The following is a 26737-nucleotide window of genomic DNA, read 5'->3' as shown; positions in this document are numbered from 1 at the left end:
TTGGAGAGGCAAGGGATGCCTGTTCACAAACCAGCCCTCCCTCTCCCTCCTAGCCCTAGGATGGTGGCAAGGATTGTCCCAGCTTGATGACCATGGGGAAACTGAGGCAAGGGCTGGGTGGAGAGGGGATGTACTGTTGCAGGCCCAGCATGTTCCGATGAATGTCCCCAGGCCCTTATTCCCCCTCTCGTGCCCTGCCCCCCAACCGGCCTTCATGAGTGGGAAGGAAAATGACAGTGAGGAGAAGGTGGCCCGACCCACTCGGCCCCACGTGCTGGTCACCAGCATCCCCACGCCCACCCACGGACAGCCCTTGAAGCTTTCGTCTCCACTCTCCAGATTGAGAAACCGAGGCACAGTTGGCTAAGTCACATGGTCAGAGAGGGGATCCGAGCCTTTGCTCGCAACTGCAGGGCTGGGTAGGCAGGGTGGGGCCCCTCCCAGACACATACTCTGTGCCAGGCCCTGAGAGTCCCCGCCCCACCCAGGCCGCCAGAAAGGAAAATAGAAGTGGCTGCCTTCCAAGAAAACAAAGGAGAGAGGCCGGTCGCGGTGGCTCATGCCTGTAATCCCAGCACTTTGGGAAGCCAAGGTGGGTGGATCATTTGAGGTCAAGAGTTTGAGACCAGCCTGACCAACATAGTGAAAGCCTGTCTCCGCTAAAATACCAAAAAATTAGCCAGGTATGGTGGCGTGTGCCTGCAATCCCAGCTACTAGGGAGACTGAGGCAGGAGGATCACTTGAGCCCAGGAAGCAGAGCTTGCAGTGAGCCAAGATTGTGCCACTGCACTCCAGCCTGGGCAACAGAGCAAGACTCTGTCTCCAAAAAAATAAATAAATAAATAAAATAAAACAAAGAAGGGAGAGTGGAGGGTGGGGAGAGCCAGCCAGGAGGGCTTCTGGAGGTGGCGCTCCTCCAGCATGGCTACGGGACAAGGGGCGGTCAGATGGGCCCTGAGCTCTGAGCGTTTTCCACCTTCCTCCTCCACTATTGGTGGCCGCTCCCTCTGGGGGCTTAGGACTCTCGTTCCCCTCGAGAACTTGAACCCAGCCCTTGTGCTGGCTGCTGCCTTCTTTACCCATGAGAGAGCTCTGGCTGGGATCAGAAGACCTCTTGTAAACTATAAAGTGGTACCTCCATGACCACAGTCCCCACTTGCTCTGGGGGCTCAAGAAGGGTTTGGGCCTCTGTGTGTGCCCCCCAGAGGGTACCTGCTGAGAGCTTCTGGGCAGCAGCCCCTGCCCCCGCTCACCCCCTGCCAATCTGACTGCCCACACCCTACTAGGTGAGGGGCCACAGGGAAACCAAGGCACAGGGAGCACTCAGGCCCCACATAGAAAACGCGAGCTCTCGGGCAGACTGCATGGGACAGTGGCACCTCATGTTTTGTGTGTGTTATAAAGTCATATTTTTATCTCTATAGAATTATCTTTACACATATACAAACGTTTGCATTTCAACCTTAAAATTTATATTTTATTTTTCTATTTGTACACACATATAAAAATATTATTTTTACTGTTCATAGAGAAAATACAGCTGATACGTCGAACCCTTTATGGCTAGCATATAGTATGGTCCTCATTTCATTTTGTAACCGTTATTAAGATATCATTCATATACCATACATTTCACCATTGAAAGCGTATCATTTAGGCTAGGCACAGTGGCACACACCTGCAATCCTAGCTCTTTGAGTGGCTAAAGCAGGAGGATAGCTTGAGCCCAGGAGTTCAAGACCAGCTTGGGCAACATAGAGAAACCTTGGCTCTACCACAAAAAAGAAAAAAATGCAAAAATCAGTCAGGTACGGTGATGTGTGCCTTTAGCTTCAGCAATTCCGGAGGCTGAGGTGGGAGGATTGCGTGAGCCCAGGGGGTCAAGGCTGCAGTGAGATTACAGCACTGCACTCCAGCCTGAGTGACATAGCAAGACCCTGTCTCAAAAAAAACGTGTATCATTCAGTTCTTCTTAGTATATTCAGTGTTATACTAAGAAAGAAACCCTATGCCCATCACTAGTCACCCCTATCCTCCCTCCTCCCAGCCCTGGCACCCACTCATCTCCTTTCTGTCCCCGATGGATTGGCCCGTTCTGGACTTTTCACAGAAACGGAATCTACACTAGAGGCCTTCTGCGACTAGCTTGTTTCACGCGCATCGTGTCTTCAGGGTCCACCCACGTCATAGCCCGTGTCAGAGCCTCATGCCTTTTGATGGCCATGTGTTCCATCGTGCGGACAGGGCACGCTTTGTCTCCTCATTCGTCTCTTGGTGGATGTCGGGTTGTCTCTGCCTTCTGGCTGTTGTGCGCTGGGCGGTGCTGCAGTGGTGGGCACGTGCAGGTTTCTGCATAGACATTTGCTCTCATTTGCCTGGTGTGTGCCTAGGAGTGGCAGTGCTGGGTTTAGGGCAATGAGGGCTCACCGACTGCTTTCCAAAGTGGCTGCAGCATTCTCTTTTAAATTTCAGCTTGCAAGTGCGAGCTGGTTGAAACGGATGGTGGTAGGTAAACCTGTGGGGAGGGACATAGGGGTGGCGGCAGTTGAAGCCGCAGGTGGAGAATGTTGGGACAGGTGATACCATCTGTGTTTGGACCTGGGTCAGGGTACCTTGTCTGTACCTTGAGGATGGCGGGGAGAGCACAGCTGGGCCCAGGTCCAGGGAGTGAGGCATGGCAGTGGCCAAAGGAGAGGCTTTAGGTGGTCCTGGGAGATCAAGCAGGGTCTGGACAGGTGGAGGGAGGGGAGGGAGGAGAGTGGGCTGGCGGTGGGGGCGGTGGAGGTGCATGCAGAAGTCAGGGTGACCTTCCTCGTCTGGCCCCCGTCTGTGCGCCATGGGCAGCCTAAGCAGGCATCACCGAGTCTGTGTCTGCTCTCCCCGCTCAGCTGAGCGTGTGGCAGATGCAGACAGCAGGCTGGTACCTGCAGAACAGGCCGGTCACATGCCGGTGGCCCCATGGTCCTGCTATGGCAGAGATTGAAGGAGGGGACTGCCGGCAGGGGCCTCAGCACCCTGGGCATCGGCCCTGCTCATCTGCAGGAAGGAGATGGGTGCCTCTGGGCGCCAGGCATCCAGCACTGGCAGCTGGGGACTGGGGTGGTGTGAGTTGTGTCCCTGTTGTCACAGCTCTCACCTCGAGGCCAGTAGGCTGTGACTTATAGTCTGCATAGGACGTCGTCACTGTGGTCACAGCACAGAGTAGGGGCTGTGCCGACAGGACCTGCCAGCTTCTGGCACCCAGAAGTTTTGCCCTCTGGCTGAATTCCAGGCCCGTGGCTGCTGCCCTCACGCCTGCCATGTGGTCATTTCACTAGCTTGGAAGACCTAGGACAGAGACTGGGTTCTGCGTCGCCTCCAAATACACCCAAATGCAGGCCGGGCTGCTTCCATACCCCCAAACGTAGGCCGGGCCATCTCCATACCTGCAAACGCAGGCCAGGCCACCTCCATACCCCCAAACATAGGCTGGGCCACCTCCATACCCGCAGACGCAGGCCGGGCCACCTCCATACCCGCAAACACGGTCCAGGCTGCCTCCAAATACCCCCAAACTCAGGCCGGGCTGCCTCCATACCCCCAAATGCAGGCCGGGCTGCCTCCATACATCCAAATGCAGGCTAGGCTGCTTTGTGCCTAGCAAATGCAGGTTGCAGGAGGGAGTCAAGAACTGGGCAGCCCCGGGCAGCCACACTGGGCAGGTGAAGGGTTCTCAGGCTGGAGCAGATCCAGTTCCTGCCCTTGGAGACCTCATGCCAAGTGGGGAGCCAGATGGGGATTATGGCAGGTGCTATACCCGGTGCTGGGGACTTAGAAATCCTGGAAGGCTTCCTGAAGGAAACGGCACCCACCGAACAGCTTGGGAGCCACACCCCAATGCACGCTCTGCCAGGCACCGTGTACCCTGTGTCGGCCTCTGGTCGCGCATCTCAGTAGCAGACAGAGGAAGGGACTGCGACTGTGGCTAATGAGTAGACAGTGGGCAGGCCCTACCTGCCCCTCCACACAAAGTCTGTGGCCTGGGCCCTTGTTATCATGTCCTCGTCCTTCGTGGATAGTGTGTGGGAGAGAGTCTAGGAAGTGGGTGCAGCTCCCCCACTCCTGCCTCTGGTAACCGGAGCTCATTCGGCTCCATGCCCACTGTCTTGCCCTGGCACCCGAGCCTCTCAGATTCGAGTGATGAGGAATCTCTTGGTGAATCTCTTCATTTCTCTGTCCCTGAATCGGGCTGATTCTTTGGCTTTCTGGCAGCTTCGGAAGGGCCACGTGTGGTGTGGGCCCCAGGTCTGGGCTTCTCTGGGATTTTCCTTGCCTGGAGATGTCTTTGGGGATGTTTGATCCCAGCCTGGGCCTCTAGCACTGCCCGGCTGGCCTCTAGGCTGGGGTGGGAGGCTGGCTTGGCCCCTGATGGGGCCTGCAAGAACCAGGGGAGTGAGTGAGGAGGCACTTGCCCGCCCACTCGTGCCTCCCCTCCCCTGGCCCCAAATCTTGGTCTGTTTTCCCAAGAGAAACCGTTGACATTATCTGGGTGAGCTGCACAGTCGCCTCGTGTCTCAGGGCCTTAGCCTCGTCCCCAGGGCTTGAGACAGGAGAGGCCATCAAAACCGGGCAGCCCCCCCACCCTGGGAGAGTCCGGCTGTGGGCCCCCAGCTGATGGTGCTCGTGTGCCCGCAGGCTGCTGTCCCCAAGGCCCAGCCTCCTCACCCCGACTGGCGACCCCCGGGCCAATGCCTCACCCCAGAAGCCACTGGACCTGAAGCAGCTGAAGCAGCGAGCGGCTGCCATCCCCCCCATCGTGAGTGCCCACCCCCAGAGCCCCACAGAGTCCACCCTGACCTTGACTTTCCCATTCATTGAGACAGAGAATCCCACGGGCGGGAGCATGCACCTGCAGCCTAGCTCATCCGCTTCTGTTTCCTGGAGAAATCCCCGTGGAGCTGAGGTGGGAACAGCTGGGGAAGCTGGCAGGCGTACCGGGTGGGGCTCCCAGTGAAGGCGGGAACTGGCGGCCTAAGGCCTCCCCCCTTCCACCCCGCAGCACCCTTGAACCCCCAGATTAGATACTGGGTCATGGGGAGGCAGGAGCTTCCCCCACCCACTCAGCTATAGCAACAGCTTGGCCAGGGAAGGGTGGCCTACCAGTTCTGATCCTGGGGCCCTCTGGGAACACCCTCCTGGAAGGTTCTCTCAGCTGGGTGCGTGGGCCCTTGGAGGTGCCTTCTCCAGGGAGGTGAGTCTGGCCTTCCCAGTTGCAACTGGGGGCTCCGGGCTAAAAGACCCTGAGCTGACCAGGCTGGTGGTCCCTTGGGACTTTGAGTGATGGGCTCAGGGCGTGTCAGGCTACACGGCCCAGTCCCCGAGGCCCACAGAATCCTGTTGCTCAGTCCTGGCTTCCCTGAGACCCAGAGGATTTGGGTCCACAGAAGGAGCTGGAGGAGAGAGTCACAGCAGGCTCTAGCCTCCTGTCCACCACCAGGCTGCTAGGCCAGGCTTTTTGGGAGGTGGGCTCCCCCTGTCCATCACCAGGCAGCTGGGCTAGGCTTTCTGGGGAGGTGGGTTCCCCCTGTTCACTACCAGGCAGCTGGACCAGGCTTTTTAGGAGGTGAACTCCCCCTGTCCATCACCAGGCAGCTGGGCCAGGTTCTGGGAGGTGGGTCCCCCTGTTCACCACCAGGCAGCTGGGCCAGACTTTTTAGGAGGTGAGCTCCCCCTGTGCACCACCAGGCAGCTGGGCCAGGCTTTTTGGGAGGTGGGCTCCCCCTGTCCATCACCAGGCAGCTGGGCCAGGTTCTGGGAGGTGGGTCCCCCTGTTCACCACCAGGCAGCTGGGCCAGGCTTTTTGGGAGGTGGGCTCCCCCTGTCCATCACCAGGCAGCTGGGCTAGGCTGTCTGGGGAGGTGGGTTCCCCCTGTTCACCACCGGGCAGCTGGGGCAGGCTTTCTGGGGAGGTGAGCTCCCCCTGTTCACCACCGGGCAGCTGGGCCAGGCTTTCTGGGAGGTGGGCTTCCCCATGTGCTCTGTGCTAAGACCTCCCTTTCTTGCCGCACCTGGGACCTTGAGCATGTCGCTGGCTTTCCCGGGCCTTGGTTTCCAGGCTGGTCGCGTGCATGTCTCTCCCTGACCCTGTCACTTTCAGACACCCTCTGTGAATGCTCACTTCTGCCTGCTTCCCTCAGCAGGTCACCAAAGTCCATGAGCCCCCCCGGGAGGACGCAGCTCCCACCAAGCCAGCTCCCCCAGCCCCACCGCCACCGCAAAACCTGCAGCCGGAGAGCGACGCCCCTCAGCAGCCTGGCAGCAGCCCCCGGGGCAAGAGCAGGAGCCCGGCACCCCCCGCCGACAAGGAGGGTGAGTGCACACCAGTGGCTGAGTGGGGCTGGGGCAGCAGGGGACTGACGGGCAAGGGATGTTTGTGTGTCTAGAGCAGCTGCTGCAAACCCCATGGCCACAGTGGCAGGGAAAGCAAAGTAAACGAATGGAACAGTTGAGCAGGGGGAGGCAGTTGGGAATGGTAGGGACTGCGGCAAATTGGAGAACTCTTGTTTTCTCTAAAGTGGGCACGTATTGGCCTTGGCCAAGAGTCACCCCGTGGCAAATCAGGCCTGGGGTGGTTCTTCCAGCAAAGCCAGAAATCCATCTTATGTGAAATCCCCCTGGTCCCTGGTTTCTCAACACTGGCAACTTCTCAAAATTTTCAAAAGCATTGTGAACACGCAAAAACATGTCTACAGCCCAGCCTCTGATTCGGTGTGAATCAGTCCACGCAGGAGCTTCTGGAATCACAGATGGGGCCCAGCACCCGGCTGGCAGCAGCTCTGGGGCCTGGGCAGGAAGGGCTGCCCTCCCCAGCTGGCATCCTGACCTTGCTCCAGGCCCAGGTCTCTGGGTTCACCAGGAGCCAGGGTTGGGGGTGACTCCCGAGCCGCTGTGTCACAGGGACTGCCCCGGGCACACCTCACTGTCATCACGTGAAGCTCAAGGTCAGGAGACAGGCGGGCGTGATTGCTTGTTCTCTGGATCTTCAATCTCTGCCCCACTTCCCACTAGGCCCAAGAAATTCTGAACCTGTGTCCCCAAAGAGGCATCTTCTCCAGGTCAGCCTGGCACGCAGCAGGTGCTGTTGTGCCTTGCAGGTGTTGGGGGCTGCTTCCCCAGAGGTTCCCCACCCTGGGCTAGCCCCGGCGCTTGCTGGCAGGCTGCTCCAAAGGTCTGAGGGCAGCAGGACACCAGGCCGACCTCCTGACCAGCACAGCCCAGGGACAAATCCGGGTGACTGGAGCTACCATCAGCTGTCCCCTCCCCGCTGCCTTGGGTGTGACATCCCCCTTCTCTTTTTTTTTTTTTTTTTTTTGTTTGAGACGGAGTGTCACTCTCGCCAGGTTGGAGTGCAGTGGCACAATCTCCGCTCACTGCAACCTCTGCCTCCGGGGTCCACCGAGGCTGCTGGGTCAGGACATTTGTTGAAAACCCAAGGCCCCAGGCACCATGCTGGCAGAGCGGGGATTAGGTAGGGAGAAGAGGAAGTCTCTGCTCTGGGGAGCTGCTGTTGTTTTGAGTGAGGAGGATGTTAAACCAGGGAACACGTAACGAAGCAAGATGGTTTTAGAGTCGTTCATCCACCATGAGAAACAAAACGGGTTGAGTGAAGAGCGGCTCCGGGAAGGACCCTGTGGAGTGGGAAGCAGCCCCGCAGTGGGAGCTCTCTGGGTGGGCATTGCGGGCAGAGGGAACAGCACAGGGAAAGGCCCTGGTGTGGAAACACGCTCGGGGTGTGTGAGGAGTCGCCGGGGGTGGTTGTGGCCAGGGAAGGGTGGGCGGGTGGACAGTGAGGGAAGTGGGGACCGGATTGTGTGGGGCCTCTCAGGCCACAGCGGGCAGTGGATTTTGTCTCAGGTGTGGCAGGGGCTGCTGGAGGGATTTGAAGTGAGCGTGTGTTGCGGAAGGGGAAGGAGGTGCTTGTTATCTGATTTGTATCTTGGAAAGCTCTGTCTGGCCGTTGTTGAGTCAAGGGCAGCAGCGGGAGGTCACAGCGCAGCTCTTGGCAGGCGACAGAGGCTGCCTGAACCGCACAGGTGGCCGTGGAGGTGGAAGGAAGGGCGCATCGGGAGTTTGTTTTGGAGGCAAAGCCAGTGGGGCGTTGAACCCGGTGTGGGGATGACGCCAGGGATGTCTCGCTGGAACTGGGATGCCCCATGACCAGGGCTGGGCTACCTGGGGCCAGGGTACAGTGTGCGGCCCAGGGTGTGGCTCTGGGAGACGTTGCAGGTTTGGGGCGCCAGCCCGGGAAGGAGCTGTGTATCCATGTCAGGGGCCCCAGCAGCTTTGGCCAGCGTCAGATCTGATCAGGGCTGGAACTGCACGGTGCCAGCCAGGTCCTGCTGAGCCAGGTCGCAGGCCCCTGTCCTGGGAGAAAGGGAGCCACCGGCCAGCAGTTCCCGCGGCTGGCACTCAGCCCGTTGGTGTGGCCAGGGCCTGTGCCGTTTCCTGGCCTCATTCCCCGTGGGGACGGTGCACCTGGCGTTAGGCCCTGCATGCCTTTCTTGCACAGCCTGGCTTGCAGCTCAGCTCCCGCAGGGACACACATGAACTTGACACCCAGCGCTACCTCTCTGGTCTCTCAGGAAGCCAGCCTATTCTGCCCCTGGCTCCCACACAGAGCGGCTCAGCCAAGCAGGTCCCTCGGGGCCCCCTGGGCCCAACTGGAGGAACAGGTTGTCTCTCCAGGCTCTCGGCCGCCCGCCCAGCCTGGCCTAGCCCCAGTTTGCCTTCCAGCATCGAACAGCTCCCCTCCTCTCTCTCCCAACTCTCTGGAACTGGGCTGGAGGAAGCACCAGAGGCTTACAGGGCTGGGTAGCCAGAGGGGCCAGGTCCAGGGCGTTTGCAGGATCTCCAGATGTGAGGCAGGCCCTGTACAGGTGCCTCCACTGGGGACTGGTTAAGAATGAGAATTCCCCTGCATCTGTGCCCCCTGCCTCCTGTGGGCTGCCCACCTCGCCAGGGCACAAGTCCAGGGGAAACAGTCTTCAAGGAGAGAATTGGGGGCAATTTGGTACATAGGCCTTCTTGCCCACCTGCTCTGCTCACAGCAGGCATCATTAATTGATCTTAGCACTCTCCTCCGCTGTCACACCCTGATGGGCCCTCAGAACCTCCTTTGTTCATCTGGAGGCGGCGTGATAGATGACACCTGCCTGCCATTCCTGTCCCAGAACCCAGAGGGCTCCGTCATTCCCAAGTTGTGTCTCTGCTCAACTTCTTGGCCGGTTATCTCTCCATAGGATTGGTCCTCAGGGAGAGGTTCAGAGCTGAGGACAGATTTCAGCAAAGGGCGAGAGGCCAGCAGGAAGATGCCATGAAGCCAGGCCTGAGCCCCGGGGCCCCGCTGAGTTTACAGGATCTCCCCAGGCCTGAAATCTAGGACCCATCATTGCTTCTCTGCCGCAGGCCATGTGGCATAGCAGTCTGGATTAAGGCCATGGTCTGCAGCCCCAGTGCCTGGGTTCGAAGCCGCTATCTGCCACTTGCTAGCTGGGGCCTTTGACCAGGTGGCTTAACCTCTCGGCTTCCATTTTCCCGTCTGTGAAATGGGGACAGTCAGTCAGTTCCTTGTAGGGTGCTGTGAGAATAAATGAGTGAACACGCTTACATTGCTGTCAGCCGTGGAGCCCTGAGAGAGCATGACCTCTCGGTAATGCCCTTTGCACACTCCGCCTGGTAAGTAGCCCTGCCTGAGCTTGGCTTCTCAGCCAGCCAGCGCACAACCGCTGCTTGCACTGGCTCAGTGGGCTTCTGATCCTGACTCGGCTAAGTATTTGCTGGTGAACTCAGATGAGCCCATTGGTGTGTCTGTACCTCAGTTTCCCCTCTGTAAAATGTGTCTGGCAGCAGTCTCTGTGTGAGCTTAACCGGAGGCTCATGGAGGCCGTGGGATGCTGAGCACAGTGCCTGTGCTGAGTACCACTCAGCAAACTGAGGCTGACGCTGTGGTTGTTACTTGGAGGGTCTGGGCTTATAACCCCCCACTGCCCGCCACAACACACACACACAGGCGCACACACATCCATGCACTCGCACACACATGCACGTGCACGTGCACACACATCACAGGTTACCTCCTTCAACATTGTGTACAGGCACACACACATCCATGCACTCACACACACGCACATACACGTGCACGTGCACATACACACATCACAGGTTACGTCCTTCAACATTGTGTACAGGCACATACACACATCCATGCACTCACACACACATGCACATGCACGCGCACACACATCACAGGTTATCTCCTTCAACATTGTGTACAGGCACACACACACATCCATGCACACACACACATCCATGCACTCACACGCACGCACGTGCGCGCGCGCACACACACATCACAGGTTACCTCCTTCAACATTGTGTACAGGCACACACACATCCATGCACTCACACACACATGCACGCACGTGTGCACACACACACACCACAGGTTACCTCCTTCAACATTGTGTACAGGTGCACACACACATCCATGCACTCACACACACATGCACGCACGTGCGCACGCACACACACATATCACAGGTTACCTCCTTCAACATTGTGTACAGGCGCACACACACATCCATGCACTCACACACACATGCACATACACGTGCACGCGCGTGCGCGCACACACACACACACATCACAGGTTACCTCCTTCAACATTGTGTAGAGCACAGGCCAGCAAGCTTTTCCTGCAAAGAGCCGGAGAGTGAACATTTTAGGCTTTGTGGGCCAGACAATCTCTGTTGCAAGGATTCAGCTCTGCCATAGACAATACATAAATGCACAGATGTGGCCACGCTCCAGTAAAAGCGTATTCACAAAGTCAGACGGCGGGGCCAGGCGTGGGGGCTCACGCCTGTAATTCCAGCACTCTGGAGGCCAAGGTGGGAGGATCTCTTGAGCCCAGTAGTTCAAGACCAGCCTGGGCACACATAACAAGACCTCATCTCTACAAAAACAAAATATAAACTAGCCAAGCATGGTGTGGTGACACGTGCTTGTAGTCCCAGCTACTTGGGAGCCTGAAGTGGGAAGATCCCTTGAACCCAAGAGTTCAAGACAAGCCTGGGGCAACATAGCAAGACCCCATCTCTACAAAAGTAAAACAAATTAGCCAGGCATGGTGCGGTGGTGGGCGCCTGTATTCCCAGCTACTTGAGAGGCTGAGGTGGGAGAATCACTTGAGCCCAGAGGTGAAGGCTGCTGTAAGCCGTGACAGCACCACTGCACCCCAGCCTGAGTGACAGAAGGAGACCCTGTCTCAAAAAAATTAGGGGGCAGACAGACCCTCTGAGATACCATTTGCCACCTCCTGGCTTAGAGGCCTGTCCAGGGACCTTGGCTTGCTGGGCTTGGTTGAGTGCTTGTGGGGTTGCAAAGCCAGAGGGTCCCGTTCTCGTCCTCAGCGGCAGCTGAGAGCCCCCAGCTCAGACCTTGAGATCCCCTCCCCTGCTGAGCAGAATACCATGGGGTTACAGAGCAGCGCCCAGGCAGGCAGACTTGGGGGGCTTCCCGGAGGAGCCCAGGCCGTCACAGGCCACCACTACTGTGGGTGCAGGAAGGCCATTTGTGTAGGGTCAGCCAGGGCTCCCGAGGTCTGACTGCCCCACCTCCTGCCCTCAGCAGAGAAGCCTGTGTTCTTCCCAGCCTTCGCAGCCGAGGCCCAGAAGCTGCCTGGGGACCCCCCTTGCTGGACTTCCGGCCTGCCCTTCCCCGTGCCCCCCCGTGAGGTGATCAAGGCCTCCCCGCATGCCCCGGACCCCTCAGCCTTCTCCTACGCTCCACCTGGTAAGTAGCTCCGCCCGAGCTTGGGCTTCTTCAGCCAGTGCACAATCGCTGTTTGCACTGTTTGCACTGGCTCAGAGCTGCACACAGAAGCATCTTAAAGCCTTATGGGACCTGGCTGGAGGAACAGCCTGGTCAGTGGAGGGAAAGGGGGAGATCTTTTAAGAAAGCTGCCCCAGGGTTGAGATGGAAGCCACTGGCAAGAGGGAGCCACAGCAGGTGCTTGAGCTGGTGAGGGGCAGGCTTAGAGTGGGAGCTATGTTTTCCGTTGACGGCTTAGAGCTAGAGAATGGGCAGATGGTAGAAGAGCCTGGGGAGGGAGCAGAGGCGCTACCTTGGTTCACAGACTCTGTGAGGCTGCATTTCGGCCCTGTTCTAGGTCCTGCAGTCCTGCTGGGCCTCACCAGCTGTAAAGCAGCACAGCCGGGGGCTGGTACAGACTGCTGTTGGTAAAGGCTGGTCCCGAGGGATGCGTGGGCCAAGGGAGCCAGAAGAACAGGGAAAGTCATGCCAGGCAGACGGAACAGCAAGTGCAAAAGCCCAGAGGCAGGAGAGAGCAGGCAAAGCTTGAGAAACTGAATCTGGCCACCACTGCCGAAGCTCGGTGCCCAGTGAGCTGGGGAGACCCAGGGGCCAGGTCAGGCGAGCCTGAAGGCCAAGTCGGGGGCTAAGACTTTCTCCTGAGGACAGTGGGAGCCATCGAGGGCACACAGCACAGGGAGGGTGTGCACCAGTAGACTTTTCCAAAAAGGTCCTTTTGGTTCCTATAAGGGGAAGGGGCTACTGGGGGCTACAGTGGAAATGGGGAGACAGGGGATCCAGATGAGAGTTGAGGGCGCTTGGATCAGGGCCTGGGCAGTGGGTGAGGTGGGAGGCTTCCCCAGGATAGTGGTGTCTGCACCTAGGACTCGGGTCACTAATGAGGACAGAGCCAGGCAGGGCAATAGAGGAGTGCGCATGGATGGGCACTTCCTGGCCAGGACAGGGAAGAGGTGGAGTGCAGCCTGGAGTGTGTGTCCGGCAGGGACGTGACCGCTCCTGGGCCCCACAATGGACAGACATGTGCTCCACAGGTCACCCACTGCCCCTGGGCCTCCATGACACTGCCCGGCCCGTCCTGCCGCGCCCACCCACCATCTCCAACCCGCCTCCCCTCATCTCCTCTGCCAAGCACCCCAGCGTCCTCGAGAGGCAAATAGGTGCCATCTCCCAAGTGAGTGGTAGCCCTTCCTTTCTTGGGGGCTTAGTCTTCTTATCTGTAAAGTGGGGGCAATGGGACCAATGAAGTCTGAGTGGGGGCCAGGCTCTCGGGGGCCTGGGTCATCTCCACTCAGGCATCTGGGGTCTGAGCTGGCTGGGTCCTGCCCCAGGCACTCAGGGCCTCGTCCCTGGGGGGTCACTCTGTATTGCAGTCAAGGGCATGGCTCAGGAACCAGGCTGTGTGGCCTCAGGCAAGTTACTTAACCTCCTGTTTCCCCCACTGCGAAATGGAAGGGCAAATGCAAGGGGCTCAGAGGGCATGGCCCCTTCACAGGGGAGGGGGCCGAGGCTTGGGAGTAGCAGTGACTTGTCTGCCGTCACACAGCTGGACAGCAGCCCCAGCCTCTGACCCACACGTGGGCTTTTTGAACAGGAGCGTCAGGCACTCTGGACTGTGGGGGAGGGACCAGGGTGCCCCTGTGACCCCACAACTCCGCCCCTACAGGGAATGTCGGTCCAGCTCCACGTCCCGTACTCAGAGCATGCCAAGGCCCCGGTGGGCCCTGTCACCATGGGGCTGCCCCTGCCCATGGACCCCAAAAAGCTGGGTAAGGCTCCTGGCCCATCCGTCTGGGTGGCTCAGGCTGGGCTCTGGCTGTCCTGTGGGTGGGGCGGGGGAGGAAGGGGTATCTTGGCCCACGGTACTCCAGGTAGCAGCTGGGAGGTCCCCCCTCAGCAGCCCTGGCTGGAACATGGTGGGGAGGGGCAGCGCTTCCCAGCCCCTGGCTCAGGTTGGGTGGGGACAAGCCTCCCGGGACCCTGCTCCGGCAGCACGTGACTCGCTCCTCTTACTGGTCCTCAGCACCCTTCAGCGGAGTGAAGCAGGAGCAGCTGTCCCCACGGGGCCAGGCTGGGCCACCGGAGAGCCTGGGGGTGCCCACAGCCCAGGAGGCGTCCGTGCTGAGAGGTGAGGGCCCTTCTGCCCTGGGCCCCCAGCATCTGCCCCTGTTCCTCGGGTGCCCAAAGGGCCCTTTATTCAAAACCTGCTGGGAAGTGTCATCTCCCAGAGGGTCTGGGGGCCCCTCTTCACAGCTGTCTCCCTCACCATTTAGGGGTAGGGGGACTCCCTCTGCGTTGAAACAACTAGCACAACTTGTGGGTCTCTCAGTCAGGGTGGCTCTCAGGACTGGGGCCTGGGGAAGGAAGGGCCACAGACACGCCCTCAGCCCCACATCTTGTGTCTTCCAGGGACAGCTCTGGGCTCAGTTCCGGGCGGAAGCATCACCAAAGGCATTCCCAGCACACGGGTGCCCTCGGACAGCGCCATCACATACCGCGGCTCCATCACCCACGTAGGTGTCCTGGGGTGCGGCAGGAAGGACGGTTGGGACCAGCACGGGGCCAGCCCATCTTATAACCCCTCATTGTCACCAAACCATTAGCCTCAGCCGATGGGGTGATGACTGGGGGACAGCAGTTCACTCCATGAACTTTCATCTAGTCTGCATGGAATCAGGCACTGGGATTGCCAAGCACAGCTCAAAACTCTGCCTTCAGGGAGCTGCCATGTAGTGGAAGGAAACAGACCAGGGTAAATAAGTAGGCTGGTGAAAACCGAGCAGGCAGGCAGAATGTGAGCGTACCGCGGCTGAGAATGCCTGGCCACGGACATTGCTTAGACAGGTGAGGAAGGTGACATGTCAGCTGTGGCCAGAAGAAATTGAGGGTGCAAGCCATGCGGGAATCTCAGGGAACAGCATTCTAGGCTCAGGGAACAGCATGTGCAAAGACAGAGCATGAGAGGGTTCCTGAATCGTGCCAGGACTGGTGCCCCAGCCTTGCAGCTGGTGAGCTGTGGACCCAAGGTTTTGTGCCACGTGTGTCTGGCTCTAGAACACAGTGACAGAGCGTGGGTCCACACACTTGCACACGTGCATGCATGTTCTAACAGTGGAGCTTCGGGCAACAAGATGGTCCACAGGGAGGTGTTTTTCACTCAGGCAGCGTCAAATCCCACCACAGAGGAGCCATTTACACTTTGCCCTTCTCTGAAATCTGCAGGTTTTAAAAATCTGAGCTTTCAAAGGCAGCTGTGCTGAGTGGGAAGGGCAAGTGCTTTGGACAAAAGTCAGGCTGAGGGCCCTCGGGTGCCAGCTCCACCACCTACTCAGACAGGCAGCGGCCTGCCCTGACTCCGTTTCCCCTTTGCTAACAGTATTCCTGGGAGAGTCATTCTCCTGAAGTCGTAGGGACCTTTGAAGTTCCCAGGCATCCACCTGCTCTGGGTTCCTGAGTGGCCATGACCCGCGCCCTTCCTCGAACCTCCCAGTTACACACATCTCTTTGATTGCTTTTGGCAGACAGCCAGCTGCCAAAACATGTGAGATAGGCAAGGGTCAAACTTCCGTGCAGTCTCACTACCAGATAGTGAGGAAGTCAGCGTGTGGCCTGCACGCACAGAGCCGTTTATTAACTGAGTAGGTGCCATAGGCAGGGACCACGTGGTTCCCAGCTGGCAAGGGAGGTCAAGGAAGTCCCAGCTCCCTGATCCTCCAGGGACTTCCTGCCCATCTTGGGAGTAGAGTTCATTGGGGCCAAGAGCAAGAGGCTACAGGCTCATCTCCTGGAAGCAGACGTTATGCAAACAGAAGCTTCCCTGTTAATGGGAGTTTGTCCAGTGTATTCTCCCAAGAGCAGGGGCCACCGGCTGGATTTCTGTTCTCTGTCCATGTCCCTGAAGATGGCACCTCTAAAATACTATAGCTCAAAAACATCAAGCTGGACACGGTGGCTCTTGCCTGTCAACCCAGCATTTTGGGAGGCCAAGGTGGGAGGATAGCTTGAGCCCAGGAGTTTGAGACCAGCCTGGACAAAAAGAGGCCTGTCTCTACAGAAAATTTAAAAATTGGCTGGGCATGGTGGCACATACCTGTAGTCTCAGCTACTTGGGACTGGGAGGCAGGAAGATCACTTGAGCCCAGGAGTTTGAGGCTGCAGTGAACTATGACAGTGTTCTGCACTCCAGCCTGGGCAATACAGCAAGACCCCTTCTCAAAAAAAAAAAATCAGATGCCTCAGTTTCACCATGGAGAGCCCCCCTTTTTAAATCATTTATTGTGGTGTTCAGTAAGCCACTGATTTCTGCAGTACAAACCCAGTTCTGACATGGACCATCTGATGTTAGGGCTGGATACAGAAAGGGGTGCACTTGTGTTAGCTGCCTCTTGGGGGGCTTTTCCCGCCAGGATGCTGCAGGAATCCTGTGCTTTCCTGATGGGAGAGGTGGCTGCCCCGAGCTGTCACCTGACTCAGCACCTATTGTGCCACACTGTTAGTGTACAGGTGTCTTAAAGCACAGCAGGGAGATGCTGCTCAGAGTATTTGCTTTGGGAAGTTTGGGGGGAGCTCATCAGAATTCAGGGCGTCTTGCTGTTGCCCTCCGCAAAGACCAGGATCTGCGGTGAACTCCCCGGGGTACCAGGTGCTGCCCTCTGCCAGGGGATGTCCCCAGCCAAGCAAGTCCAGCCAGAGACTCAGAGCTCACTGGTCCAGGTCTTGGGATATAGTAGGACCTTTACCGTTGAATCTGCTCCTGGAACCCTAGAAAGAGAAGAGGGATATTGAGATTTGGGGACCCGTCGTCTGTGCCAGATGCCTTTGAGAATCATCAATGCAGAAGGTCTCCATTTGTGGATGTGCAAACTGAGGCTCAGAAAGGAGGTCCCACGGCAGCTTGGTAGTAAAGTTGCTGTTTGACACCCAACATTCTGCTTCCAAAGTCATATTCTAACTCTGATGCTTGTGTTCTTGAAAGTCACCCAAGGCAGGATGCTGCCCCACGTGGCCATCTCCTCTCTGCTTGAACACATCCTCCAACGGGAAGCTCATTCCCTATATGGCAGTGGTTCTCAATTGGGGGAAATTGTGCCTCCAACTCTCTAGGGACATTTTCGATTGTCCTAACTTGGTGGGGGACACACTGGGGAGGCGTGTACTCCTGGCTTCTAGTGCTTTGAAGCCAGGGATGCTGTTAACAGCCCACAGTGCACAGGACAGCCCCACAGCAAAGAAGGGTCCAGCTCCAGCTGTCAGGAGGGCCGAGGTGGAAAACCTGGGTTAGAACTAAAATTTCCGGTGTGCTGCCCTGACGTGAGTCCTTGTCCTGGTTTTAGGAAACCAAAGTGCATGACGTGGTCACGGGTACAGCACAGGAGCAGAAACCCCAGCGTCCCCGCCAGTTACCGTTTTCGGTAACTGAATGTCAAGGCTCTGAGTAGACCCCACGCAGTGGTGGGGACACAGACTCCAGGACCAGAATGCCTGGGTTCAAGTCCCCGCCTGCCCCTTATTAGCCAGGTGACCCCGGGTAAAGTCACTGTGCCTCCCTGTGCCTCGGTTTCCCCATCTGAAACAGGCATAATCAATAGGGTTGTCTTAGGGTTGTTTCGAGGATTAAATGAGCAAATCCATAGAGAGCACCCAGAACAGCGTCCACTCATGGGAAGCACTTGACAAGGGATCTTCATTCTTCAGGTTCCTCATAGGGTTTTGTTCCATGCAAACTCTTACCTATTTGAGACAGTGTGTGTGTGGACACGCGTGTGCATCGGTGGGCACATGGGCTTTTAAGCACGTCTTTGCCTGCATTTGAGTTGAGAGGGGTCCTGGGCTGCAGCCTCCTGGGCGCTCACCCCTCTGCACCTGCAGGGCACGCCAGCTGACGTCCTGTACAAGGGCACCATCACCAGGATCATCGGCGAGGACAGCCCGAGTCGCTTGGACCGCGGCCGGGAGGACAGCCTGCCCAAGGGCCACGTCATCTACGAAGGCAAGAAGGGCCACGTCTTGTCCTATGAGGGTGAGTCGCAGGAGGAGAGGAGGCCCAGGACCAGGGGAGGAGTGTGCTTGGCCCACTGAGGTAGCTTCACAGGGAGGCAGGGCTGGATTGACATCAGAAAGCACAATCTGATAGGTGGTGACCTCCTTATCCCTGCAGGTATGCAAGCCAGCAGCAGGGAAGCGTTGGCCTTAGCTGCCTCCCACCTCTGCCCAGTTCTTTACAGTTTAGAAAACAAACTCATGGCCAACCTTTTTAGAAGCATAGGAGGGAAACTGAGGCCCGGAACAGAAGCCCGAGCTCACGCCGCCAGGCCTCCAGCACCGTACTGACAAACCACGCACTCTCTCATTGGCCATGAAAGAGGCCATGGCCAGAGTGCCCCTCGCCCCACTGTGTCCCAGGCTCTTGCTGCGGAGCCCCCATCCTCTCCCTCTCTAGGCTCTGGGTTCCAGAACGAGGAGACCCTGCCAGGAAGGAGTTAAGGGAATCGAGTGCCGGGAAAGAGAATTTCCTGGCAGCCTAGGGCACCCAGGGGTGTGGAGATGAAAGCTGCTAATGGGCGCCTCTCTCAGCACTGCAGCTGCGAGGCCCGGAATTGCCTCTCCTCCATCCACTTCCGCCTGTGCCCGCAGCCCCCTCCCCAGGCCTGGGAGGTGGAGGTGGCACCGTGTGGCTTAGGAACATAATGCACTCCCTGCTGCCACAGAGATAGCCTTGGAGACAGGCCTGCAGCTGTGTCTTGGGTGCCAGCTCATGCCCTGGTGCCCCTGGACCGAGTGCCCTGGGGGTGGCGGGAAGCCTGGGAAGGGCTGGTGGTGGGGTTAGTCAAGAGCTTGTCTTGAGAGGTCACTGGGTAGAGTCCCACCTTGGGACCCCAGACCAGTGCCTGAGCCTTTATAGGCCTTCAGCGTATCGTCTTCATCATGGGTTTCAGTCGGGGCCTTTAAACTCTCGTCTGCTCCCTGGGCCAGGTAGGCAGTGCAGGCAGCGGCAGGTGTGAGACTGTAGGGAGTGGGGAGGACTGTAGGGAATGGGGAGGACTGTGGTGCCTGCTCACGCCGTCCACTCCCCTGCGGCCACCGGTCAGCCAGGTTTCTCATCTCCGTTTTTATCTGAAATCTCCCGATGTTTAAACATCGGCGATTAATTTGGAACGTTTTCTGAACAGCAACCTAGTACCCTCCTGTTGGCAACCCCTGGAGTAGCTCACGGGCCGTGGGCCACACGAAGCAATGGTTGAAAAGCCCGAGAGCCTGTCAGTTGCTCATTCCCTCTGAGGGGTGGGGCGGGGGCTCCCGGGGCTCATTTCTGATAGCTCTGGACTCGGCTGCCCTGGAAGGAGAGCCCTGGCTAGATGGGCAAAGCCCAGCCTTTACCTTCGGGGGCCACCTCCGTCTGTTCACCTCTCTGCCTGTCCGGGGAGCAGTGAGCCGGGCCCATGTAGGCTCCTTTGGCCTGGCGAGGCCACCCCTGCCACCCCTCACCACTGCCTGCAACACACACCTCTCCGTGCACACGCAGACTTGTGGTCGGACACTCACATGCACATCGGCACAGGTTTCTGGGTGTGACACGTGTATACATACAAAGCCGTGTACTGCCTGCACCCTGGTACATGTGTGTACATGGACCCACTTAGTTCTCAGCAGCCAGGCTCACGTGCATGTGCCCACATCCACTCCTGCACACACAAGACCCGTGCCAGTGCACATGCGTGCTCCTGCCTGCCACACGTCCACACACTGCTGATGTATCGGTGCACACGCGTGCTCCTGCCTGCCCGCACCTCCACTCTGCTGTATCGGTGCACGCGTGCTGCTGCCTGCCACACATCCACACTCTGCTGCTGATGTATCGGTGCACGTGTGCTCCTGCCTGCCACACATCCACACACTGCTGATGCGTCCTTGCTCACGTGCATGTGTGTGCACTTGTTCACGCCCCATGTCGGCACCCGTGGGTGTGGACACAGACTCACGTGCTCATGTGGTCACAGGCACACCCTTGCTTGCAGACAGAGCACCCTGGAGGGCTAGGGTACAGGGTGCAGGCAGCGTGCCCTGCATCTCCCACCGTGCAACCCCCTGGAAAAGCTCCTGGGTCCTGCTGGCAGGCCCCCAGGGCCTGCAGGCTGCCAGCTCCCTCTGGAGGCCTCGGCTGTGAGGCTTTGTGACGGGGCCAGCATGGAAGCACTGCTGGCTCCTGCCTACCGGCTCTGCCTGTCCTGCCTGCCCACCGTGGTCCTGGGCCCGTGCCCAGCTCCTCACCGAGTGCTTTGTGTGGTTTCCAGGTGGCATGTCTGTGACCCAGTGCTCCAAGGAGGACGGCAGAAGCAGCTCAGGACCCCCCCATGAGACGGCCGCCCCCAAGCGCACCTATGACATGATGGAGGGCCGCGTGGGCAGAGCCATCTCCTCAGCCAGCATCGAAGGTGATAGCAGGGAGGAGACTTCATCTCTCGGTGCCCCCTGGTGGGCGGTGGGGGGATGGCTGACCCCGTTTTACAGATGGGGAAACCGAGGCTGGGCTTTCTGAGGCTCCATCTGGAGGTAGCGCAGGGACCTTCCCGTGCTGGGTCCTACTCCACCATCATCGTGGGGATGACCACTGGCGGCTGTAAACACTGACCCCTGTCACTGCCCAGTGTCGGCTCAGGGAGCCACGGAATGATGGCCTCACCCTCTCCTACCCAGGTCTCATGGGCCGTGCCATCCCGCCGGAGCGACACAGCCCCCACCACCTCAAAGAGCAGCACCACATCCGCGGGTCCATCACACAAGGTACTGCCCTGTTCCCTGCTCCCTCGTTGCCCCCAACGGGTGTACAGTCACGCAGGGCGCGGGAGGGAGAGACACAGCCAGAGTGTGGTGGGAACTCAGGACAAGTATGCAGAAAGGCCTGCAGCACACATGTACATGATCAGTACGTGAGCTACGGAGCAAGGGTGTCTCTTACTTATTTCAAAACAAAAACAAAAAGCAAAATACCACCGATCACCCCTGTGCTTTTAGGTGTCACATAGCAACTGTCCTGTGCTTGGCACTAACCCAGGTGCCACCTGCGTATCGTTTTACAGAACATCCTGGTGAGGCACATGCGATTGGGAGAGGCTTGGAGAGCTCCGAGAACTCTTTCAGGTTCTCGCGGCTGGTCCATGGCACAGCCAGCTACTGTGAACTTGGCAGCTTTGTGGGTTTTATTTTTTATTTTTTTATTTTGTTGTTGTTGTTGCTGTTTGAGACAGGGTCTCATTCTGTTGCCCAGGCTGGAGTGCAGTGGCACGATCTCAGCTCACTGCAGCCTCCGCCTTTCAGGCTTAAACAATCCTCCCACTTCAGCCTCCCAAGTAGCTGGGACCACAGATGCACACCACCACATCTAGCTAATTTTTGTATTTTTGTAGAGGTGGGGTTTCACCATGTTGCCCAGGCTGGTCTCGAACTCCTGAGCTCAAGCTGTCTGCCTGCCGCAGCCCCCCAGAGTGTTGGGATTACAGGCGTGAGCTACTGCACCCAGCCTGTGGTTTTAGCTTCATGATTTCATAGTGTTCCCGACTTGCTGAGGTGGTTCAGTTAATATTCTTGTTTTATGTGTGAAGAAGCTGAGGCCCAGAGAGGTCAGATTTCCTGGTCAAGGTCACACAGCAAGTGGGGATTTGAACTCAGGCAGACTAGCTCCAGAACCCACTGGTGTGGAGGCTCTTGATGGGTCTGGGTGGGGCGGGGCGTGAGGGTCAGTGCTGTCGGCCCGGCAGGGATCCCTCGGTCCTACGTGGAGGCACAGGAGGACTACCTGCGTCGGGAGGCCAAGCTCCTAAAGCGGGAGGGCACGCCTCCGCCCCCACCGCCCTCACGGGACCTGACCGAGGCCTACAAGACGCAGGCCCTGGGCCCCCTGAAGCTGAAGCCGGCCCATGAGGGCCTGGTGGCCACGGTGAAGGAGGCGGGCCGCTCCATCCATGAGATCCCGCGCGAGGAGCTGCGGCACACGCCCGAGCTGCCCCTGGCCCCGCGGCCGCTCAAGGAGGGCTCCATCACGCAGGTATGGCCCAGGGCCAGGCACACGGGCCCAGTTCTAGGAGGGGTGGCGGTGGCTGTGGGGCACTGCCCTGGGCCTCTCCACATGGGGAAACCGAGGCTGAGAGCCCTCGCGTACCTTACAGTCACCCAGCTGCTCATCACCGGGCCTCAGCTGTGCGTGTTCCAGGGCTGCGCAGGGGGCACCAGGCTCCTGACCTGATTCTACTGAACTCACATTGTTCCCATTCTTCAGGGAGGGAAACTGAGTCCCAGAGAGGCCAGGCAGGCTTCCAAGGCCACAGGACTAAACATAGTGACGAGTAACTGCCTCCGTTGAATCTTTGTGAGGGTCCAGGTGCGGCCTGAGGATGTTGCATGCGTTCATTGTTTCACCCCCTAGCAATGCTCTGAGGTCGTTTTCTTAATGACCTTATTTTATTGCTGAGTAAATTGAGGTTCAGAGAGGTTCAACGACTCACCCAGAGTCACGCAGCAAATGCAGTTGTGAAACCCAAATTCAGATGTTCCTACAGCCGCAGCATCCACTGCACCCACCAGCAGGTTGCACCACAAGAGGCCCCAGTCCCCCCAGGCGGCCCCAGCTCAGTAGGGGAAGTTCCGTGCCGATGGTACGAGGACGAGGAGCTGTTCGGTGGAAAGCCCCTGAAGGCCACTGTCCTTCCACATGGGCAGAGGTGGCCTCTTGTGAAGGGGAAGGAGAATGGGAGCCACCACGGGGCTGTGGGGCTGTGAGGCGGAAGGACTGGGGTGGGTGTCCCGGGAGGGGTTCCAGCTTGTAGGAAGGTTTTGAAGCCAGGGAGAAGGCAGAAGCAGTAAGATCCCTGATTGCCAGGGGAAGGGTTTGGCTCTCAGCCCCTAGGCAATTATGGAGTCCTTGGAAGCATCCACCGCATGACCAAGACAGGGTCCAGATTCTAGAATATTCTTTTGAAAAACAAGGGCAGTTCCCCTTCTTACGACAGTAATGAAGACATCCCTAAATAGAGTTTTGTTGCTTGCAAAGCCCTAAAGTCCCACCATATCAAGTGTCTCCGAAGCCTGCTGAAAAGAGGCAGGGGACCTGGTGGCCTGGCTACGAAGGTCCCAGTCTGGACTGTGACCCCCCCATTTCCTCACCATCCTTTCTGTCTGGAGGGCAAACACCTCAGCCCTGACCTCAGTGTCCCTGGGGCTGAAAGCCTCAGGGCGGGTAGTATTGGGTCTGGGTGCTGACTTTTTCTGCTTGGCATTGGGTGGGCCATGGAGGGTCCCAGGCTGAACAGAGGAATGTTTTTTACCCACATGAGGGTGTTGGGCTTCTTTCTCGCAAACTCCAGGGACCATCAGAGAGCCCACCACTCGCGGCAGGGAGAGTTGACTGTTGAACTTTTTACCCCTTTCTGCAGTCCCCCCAGGGAGCGTGGGGACCAGGGTCAGGCCCAGGGTGCGCAGGGCAGTAAGTAACAAGTGTGCCATCTCAGGGTTAGCAAAGCCCTCTGTCTCCCTGCCTCTGGAGGCATCAGATGTCACTTCCATCTTATAGATGACAAACTTTTTGAGGCTCAGAAGGGGGATGCAGCTGGTCTGGGCTATGGCTGTGGCCAGGGCTAGAGCTTACATCCCCTCTGCCCCAGGGCACCCCGCTCAAGTACGACACCGGCGCGTCCACCACTGGCTCCAAAAAGCACGACGTACGCTCCCTCATCGGCAGCCCCGGCCGGACGTTCCCACCCGTGCACCCGCTGGATGTGATGGCCGACGCCCGGGCACTGGAACGTGCCTGCTACGAGGAGAGCCTGAAGAGCCGGCCAGGGACCGCCAGCAGCTCGGGGGGCTCCATTGCGCGCGGCGCCCCGGTCATTGTGCCTGAGCTGGGTAAGCCGCGGCAGAGCCCCCTGACCTATGAGGACCACGGGGCACCCTTTGCCGGCCACCTCCCACGAGGTTCGCCCGTGACCACGCGGGAGCCCACGCCGCGCCTGCAGGAGGGTGAGTGGGGTGTGCATGGGCGTGAGTGGGGTGGGCGCCTGTCTGGAGAAGCTGTGCCTCCCCATCCACCATTAGCTTAGTTTGCACCTGGGATATCCTCGCCACCCGCTTTCCACCACATCCAAACCACCTGCAGGCCCGTGGGCTCTGCCTCCGATTCCAAACCCTGTCCAACTCCTTGCCACCTCCCAGACCACCGTGGTGTCTCACCTAGCTTCCCCCACGCCCCTCCCTCTTCCTGCTGTAATCCACTCTGCAAACAGCTACCCGGATACTTTCTAAAAATGCAAATCATATTATTCCACTTCCCTGCTTCCATCCTTCTAGCAACTTCACACATTTTGCTATGGCCTTGGGGCGCCTGCCTGTTGGGGCCCTGCCTGCCTCTCATTCAGCCGGATTCCTTCGTCCTCCCCAGCCCCAGCCCCTGGGCCCTCTTTCTCTTTGTTCCCTGGCCATGCTTAGCTCGGTCAATTCAGTATTTGCTGGGGGCCTTTGCGTGGCTCCTCCTCTCTGCCTGCCATGTCCCCGCCTTCCAGATCTTTACTTAGTGGGTTTCTTTCCATCCCTCAGGTCTTTGTTTACATATTACATCCTTGGGGAGGCTTCTAACCAGACCCCCTATCTCCAGTTCATATCACATGCTGTGACATTTTAAAATTGTCTTCCGGCCAGGCATGGTGGCTCACACCTGTAATCCCAGCAGTTTGGGAGGTCAAGGCAGGCAGATCACCTGAGGTCAGGAGTTCAAGACCAGCCTGGTCAACATGGTGAAACCCTGTCTCTACTAAAAATACAAAAAAATAACCGGGTGTGGTGGTACGCACCTGTATTCCCAGCTACTCGGGAGGCTGAGGCAGGAGAATCACTTGAGCCTGGGAGGCAGAGGTTACAGTGAACGGAGATCGTGCCATTGCACTCCAGCCTGGGCAACAAGAGTGAAACTCTTATCTCAAAAAAAAAAAAAAATGAAAGAAAATTTTCTTCTGAGCGTGTTTCACTCTGTAATTCTCATTTGTTTGCTAGTTTATCACCTGTCTCTCGCATTGAATGTCAGCTTGTGAGGGCTGGGATTTCTGTTTCGTTCACTGGGGTGACCCCAGTTCTCACAACAATGCTTGCCACGTAGTAGAGGCTGCATCAATATTTTTTAATTGATTGAGTGAGTGAATGGATGAAAGAATGAATTTTTTAAAAACTATAACACAAAAGCAAATGAGTCAGTGAGCAAAAAGTGAACTAAGGCAATGAAGAAATGAAGGAGTGAATGAAGAGACCTGGTCCTTGGGATCCCGAGGTCCCTATCCTCAAACAACTCCCCGTAAATGCCAGCCCCAGAGGCCCGATGCATCCACCTTGCCCGTCCACAGGCAGCCTTTCGTCCAGCAAGGCATCCCAGGACCGAAAGCTGACGTCGACGCCTCGTGAGATCGCCAAGTCCCCGCACAGCACCGTGCCCGAGCACCACCCACACCCCATCTCGCCCTATGAGCACCTGCTTCGGGGCGTGAGTGGCGTGGACCTGTATCGCAGCCACATCCCCCTGGCCTTCGACCCCACCTCCATACCCCGCGGCATCCCTCTGGACGCAGGTGATTGCCCTGGGGCTCCCAGAACCCTGCAGTGGTGCTGAACAGGGCCACGGACCTCATCAGTGTTCGCTCAGGGACTCCTTAGGCATCAACTGTCAGGTTCCCCTGGATGGCGAAACTGAGGCCTCGGGATTGGAAGACCCAACAGTGTAATCATGAGCTTAGGTTGGAGCAGAATTTCTCTTAGTAGTTTGCAGGACATGTGGGGTTAAACATTTCAGTGGTTTTCTTTTCCGGCAGGACTTATCAGTGCCTTTAGCAATGCAAAGGTATAGAATGAGGACTTGAGTATATGCATTTTTCAAATAGACATGATCTGAAAGTCTTTTTTAAAAGTTGCCGGGCACGGTGGCTCACACCTGTAATCCCAGCACTTTGGGAGGCCGAGGCAGGCGGATCACAAGGTCAGGAGATAGAGACCATCCTGGCTAACACGGTGAAACCCCGTCCCTACTAAAAATACAAAAACTAGCCGGGTGTGGTGGCGGGCGCCTGTAGTCCCAGCTACTCGGGAGGCTGAGGCAGGAGAATGGCGTGAACCCGGGAGGCGGAGCTTGCAGTGAGCCAAGATCGCGCCACTGCACTCCAGCCTGGGCGACAGAGCGAGACTCCTTCTCTAAAAATAAAAGAAATTAAAAAAAAAGAAATAAAAAAAGTTGCATCCCTTTGGAGTGTTAATCTGCATTGGGATGTCCTATGTTTGGGACAACTTTGATGCAAAAAGCATCCTTCGTAGAAGTCACCCTCTTGTGTCCTGGCGTGATGTTTTCCTGCTGTCCGACGCTCAGTTCTGGTTTGTGCTTTGGGCAGCCACACATGTAGGTGGGAGAAGCTGTCCGGGTGCAGAAGTAGGGGGCATCCAGACAGGTGGAGCGACACCATCAGGCCTAGGTATGGCTGGCCTCACATGAGCTCCCCTCTGCCCCGCAGCCGCTGCCTACTACCTGCCCCGACACCTGGCCCCCAACCCCACCTACCCGCACCTGTACCCACCCTACCTCATCCGCGGCTACCCCGACACGGCGGCGCTGGAGAACCGGCAGACCATCATCAATGACTACATCACCTCGCAGCAGATGCACCACAACGCGGCCACCGCCATGGCCCAGCGAGCTGATATGCTGAGGGGCCTCTCGCCCCGCGAGTCCTCGCTGGCACTCAACTACGCTGCGGGTCCCCGAGGTGAGTGGGTGGGCAGACCACCTCCGCTGGGTTTGGCCTTATTCCCAAAGGACATGGGCGTGCCCCTGTGGCCTCGCGGAGGCAG

The 26737-nt window shown here is 57.9% G+C and overlaps 1 protein-coding gene across 3 annotated transcripts in view, besides 3 other annotated features; it reads left to right on the top strand.

Annotated features, from left to right (window-relative positions):
• NCOR2 (nuclear receptor corepressor 2) overlaps window positions 1–26737 on the top strand; it is a 243198-nt gene that overhangs the window by 199138 nt on the left and 17323 nt on the right. For 2 of the 3 annotated variants that reach the window (NM_001077261.4, NM_001206654.2), the window contains exons 22-35: window positions 4676–4796; window positions 6178–6349; window positions 11669–11833; window positions 12904–13043; window positions 13536–13638; window positions 13893–13997; window positions 14279–14382; window positions 17738–17888; window positions 20161–20301; window positions 20564–20650; window positions 21625–21911; window positions 23524–23878; window positions 25249–25470; window positions 26401–26652. In NM_001077261.4, the coding sequence (NP_001070729.2) occupies window positions 4676–4796; window positions 6178–6349; window positions 11669–11833; window positions 12904–13043; window positions 13536–13638; window positions 13893–13997; window positions 14279–14382; window positions 17738–17888; window positions 20161–20301; window positions 20564–20650; window positions 21625–21911; window positions 23524–23878; window positions 25249–25470; window positions 26401–26652 (2405 nt within the window). The remainder of the gene's footprint in view (window positions 1–4675; window positions 4797–6177; window positions 6350–11668; window positions 11834–12903; window positions 13044–13535; window positions 13639–13892; window positions 13998–14278; window positions 14383–17737; window positions 17889–20160; window positions 20302–20563; window positions 20651–21624; window positions 21912–23523; window positions 23879–25248; window positions 25471–26400; window positions 26653–26737) is intronic. The other variant, NM_006312.6, reaches the window with a different exon arrangement.
• Window positions 20158–20452: a silencer, noted in NCBI's record as "tiled region #3491; HepG2 Repressive DNase matched - State 12:CtcfO, and K562 Repressive non-DNase unmatched - State 17:Gen3'". NCBI's record gives its function as "represses a minimal TATA promoter and a strong SV40 promoter by Sharpr-MPRA in HepG2 and K562 cells {active_cell/tissue: HepG2 | K562}" and the evidence as "EXISTENCE:reporter gene assay evidence [ECO:0000049][PMID:27701403]".
• Window positions 23362–23862: an enhancer, noted in NCBI's record as "H3K4me1 hESC enhancer chr12:124829159-124829659 (GRCh37/hg19 assembly coordinates)". NCBI's record gives its function as "activates a minimal SCP1, AML or CMV promoter by ChIP-STARR-seq in primed H9 embryonic stem cells {active_cell/tissue: H9 hESC(primed)}" and the evidence as "EXISTENCE:reporter gene assay evidence [ECO:0000049][PMID:30033119]".
• Window positions 23863–24363: an enhancer, noted in NCBI's record as "H3K4me1 hESC enhancer chr12:124828658-124829158 (GRCh37/hg19 assembly coordinates)". NCBI's record gives its function as "activates a minimal SCP1, AML or CMV promoter by ChIP-STARR-seq in primed H9 embryonic stem cells {active_cell/tissue: H9 hESC(primed)}" and the evidence as "EXISTENCE:reporter gene assay evidence [ECO:0000049][PMID:30033119]".

Source organism: Homo sapiens, chromosome 12 (genome assembly GCF_000001405.40).
Source record: "Homo sapiens chromosome 12, GRCh38.p14 Primary Assembly".
Classification (NCBI taxonomy): domain Eukaryota; kingdom Metazoa; phylum Chordata; class Mammalia; order Primates; family Hominidae; genus Homo; species Homo sapiens.
The sequence above is the reverse complement of the archived record's forward strand: the minus strand, read 5'-3'. Positions and strand labels throughout refer to the sequence as shown.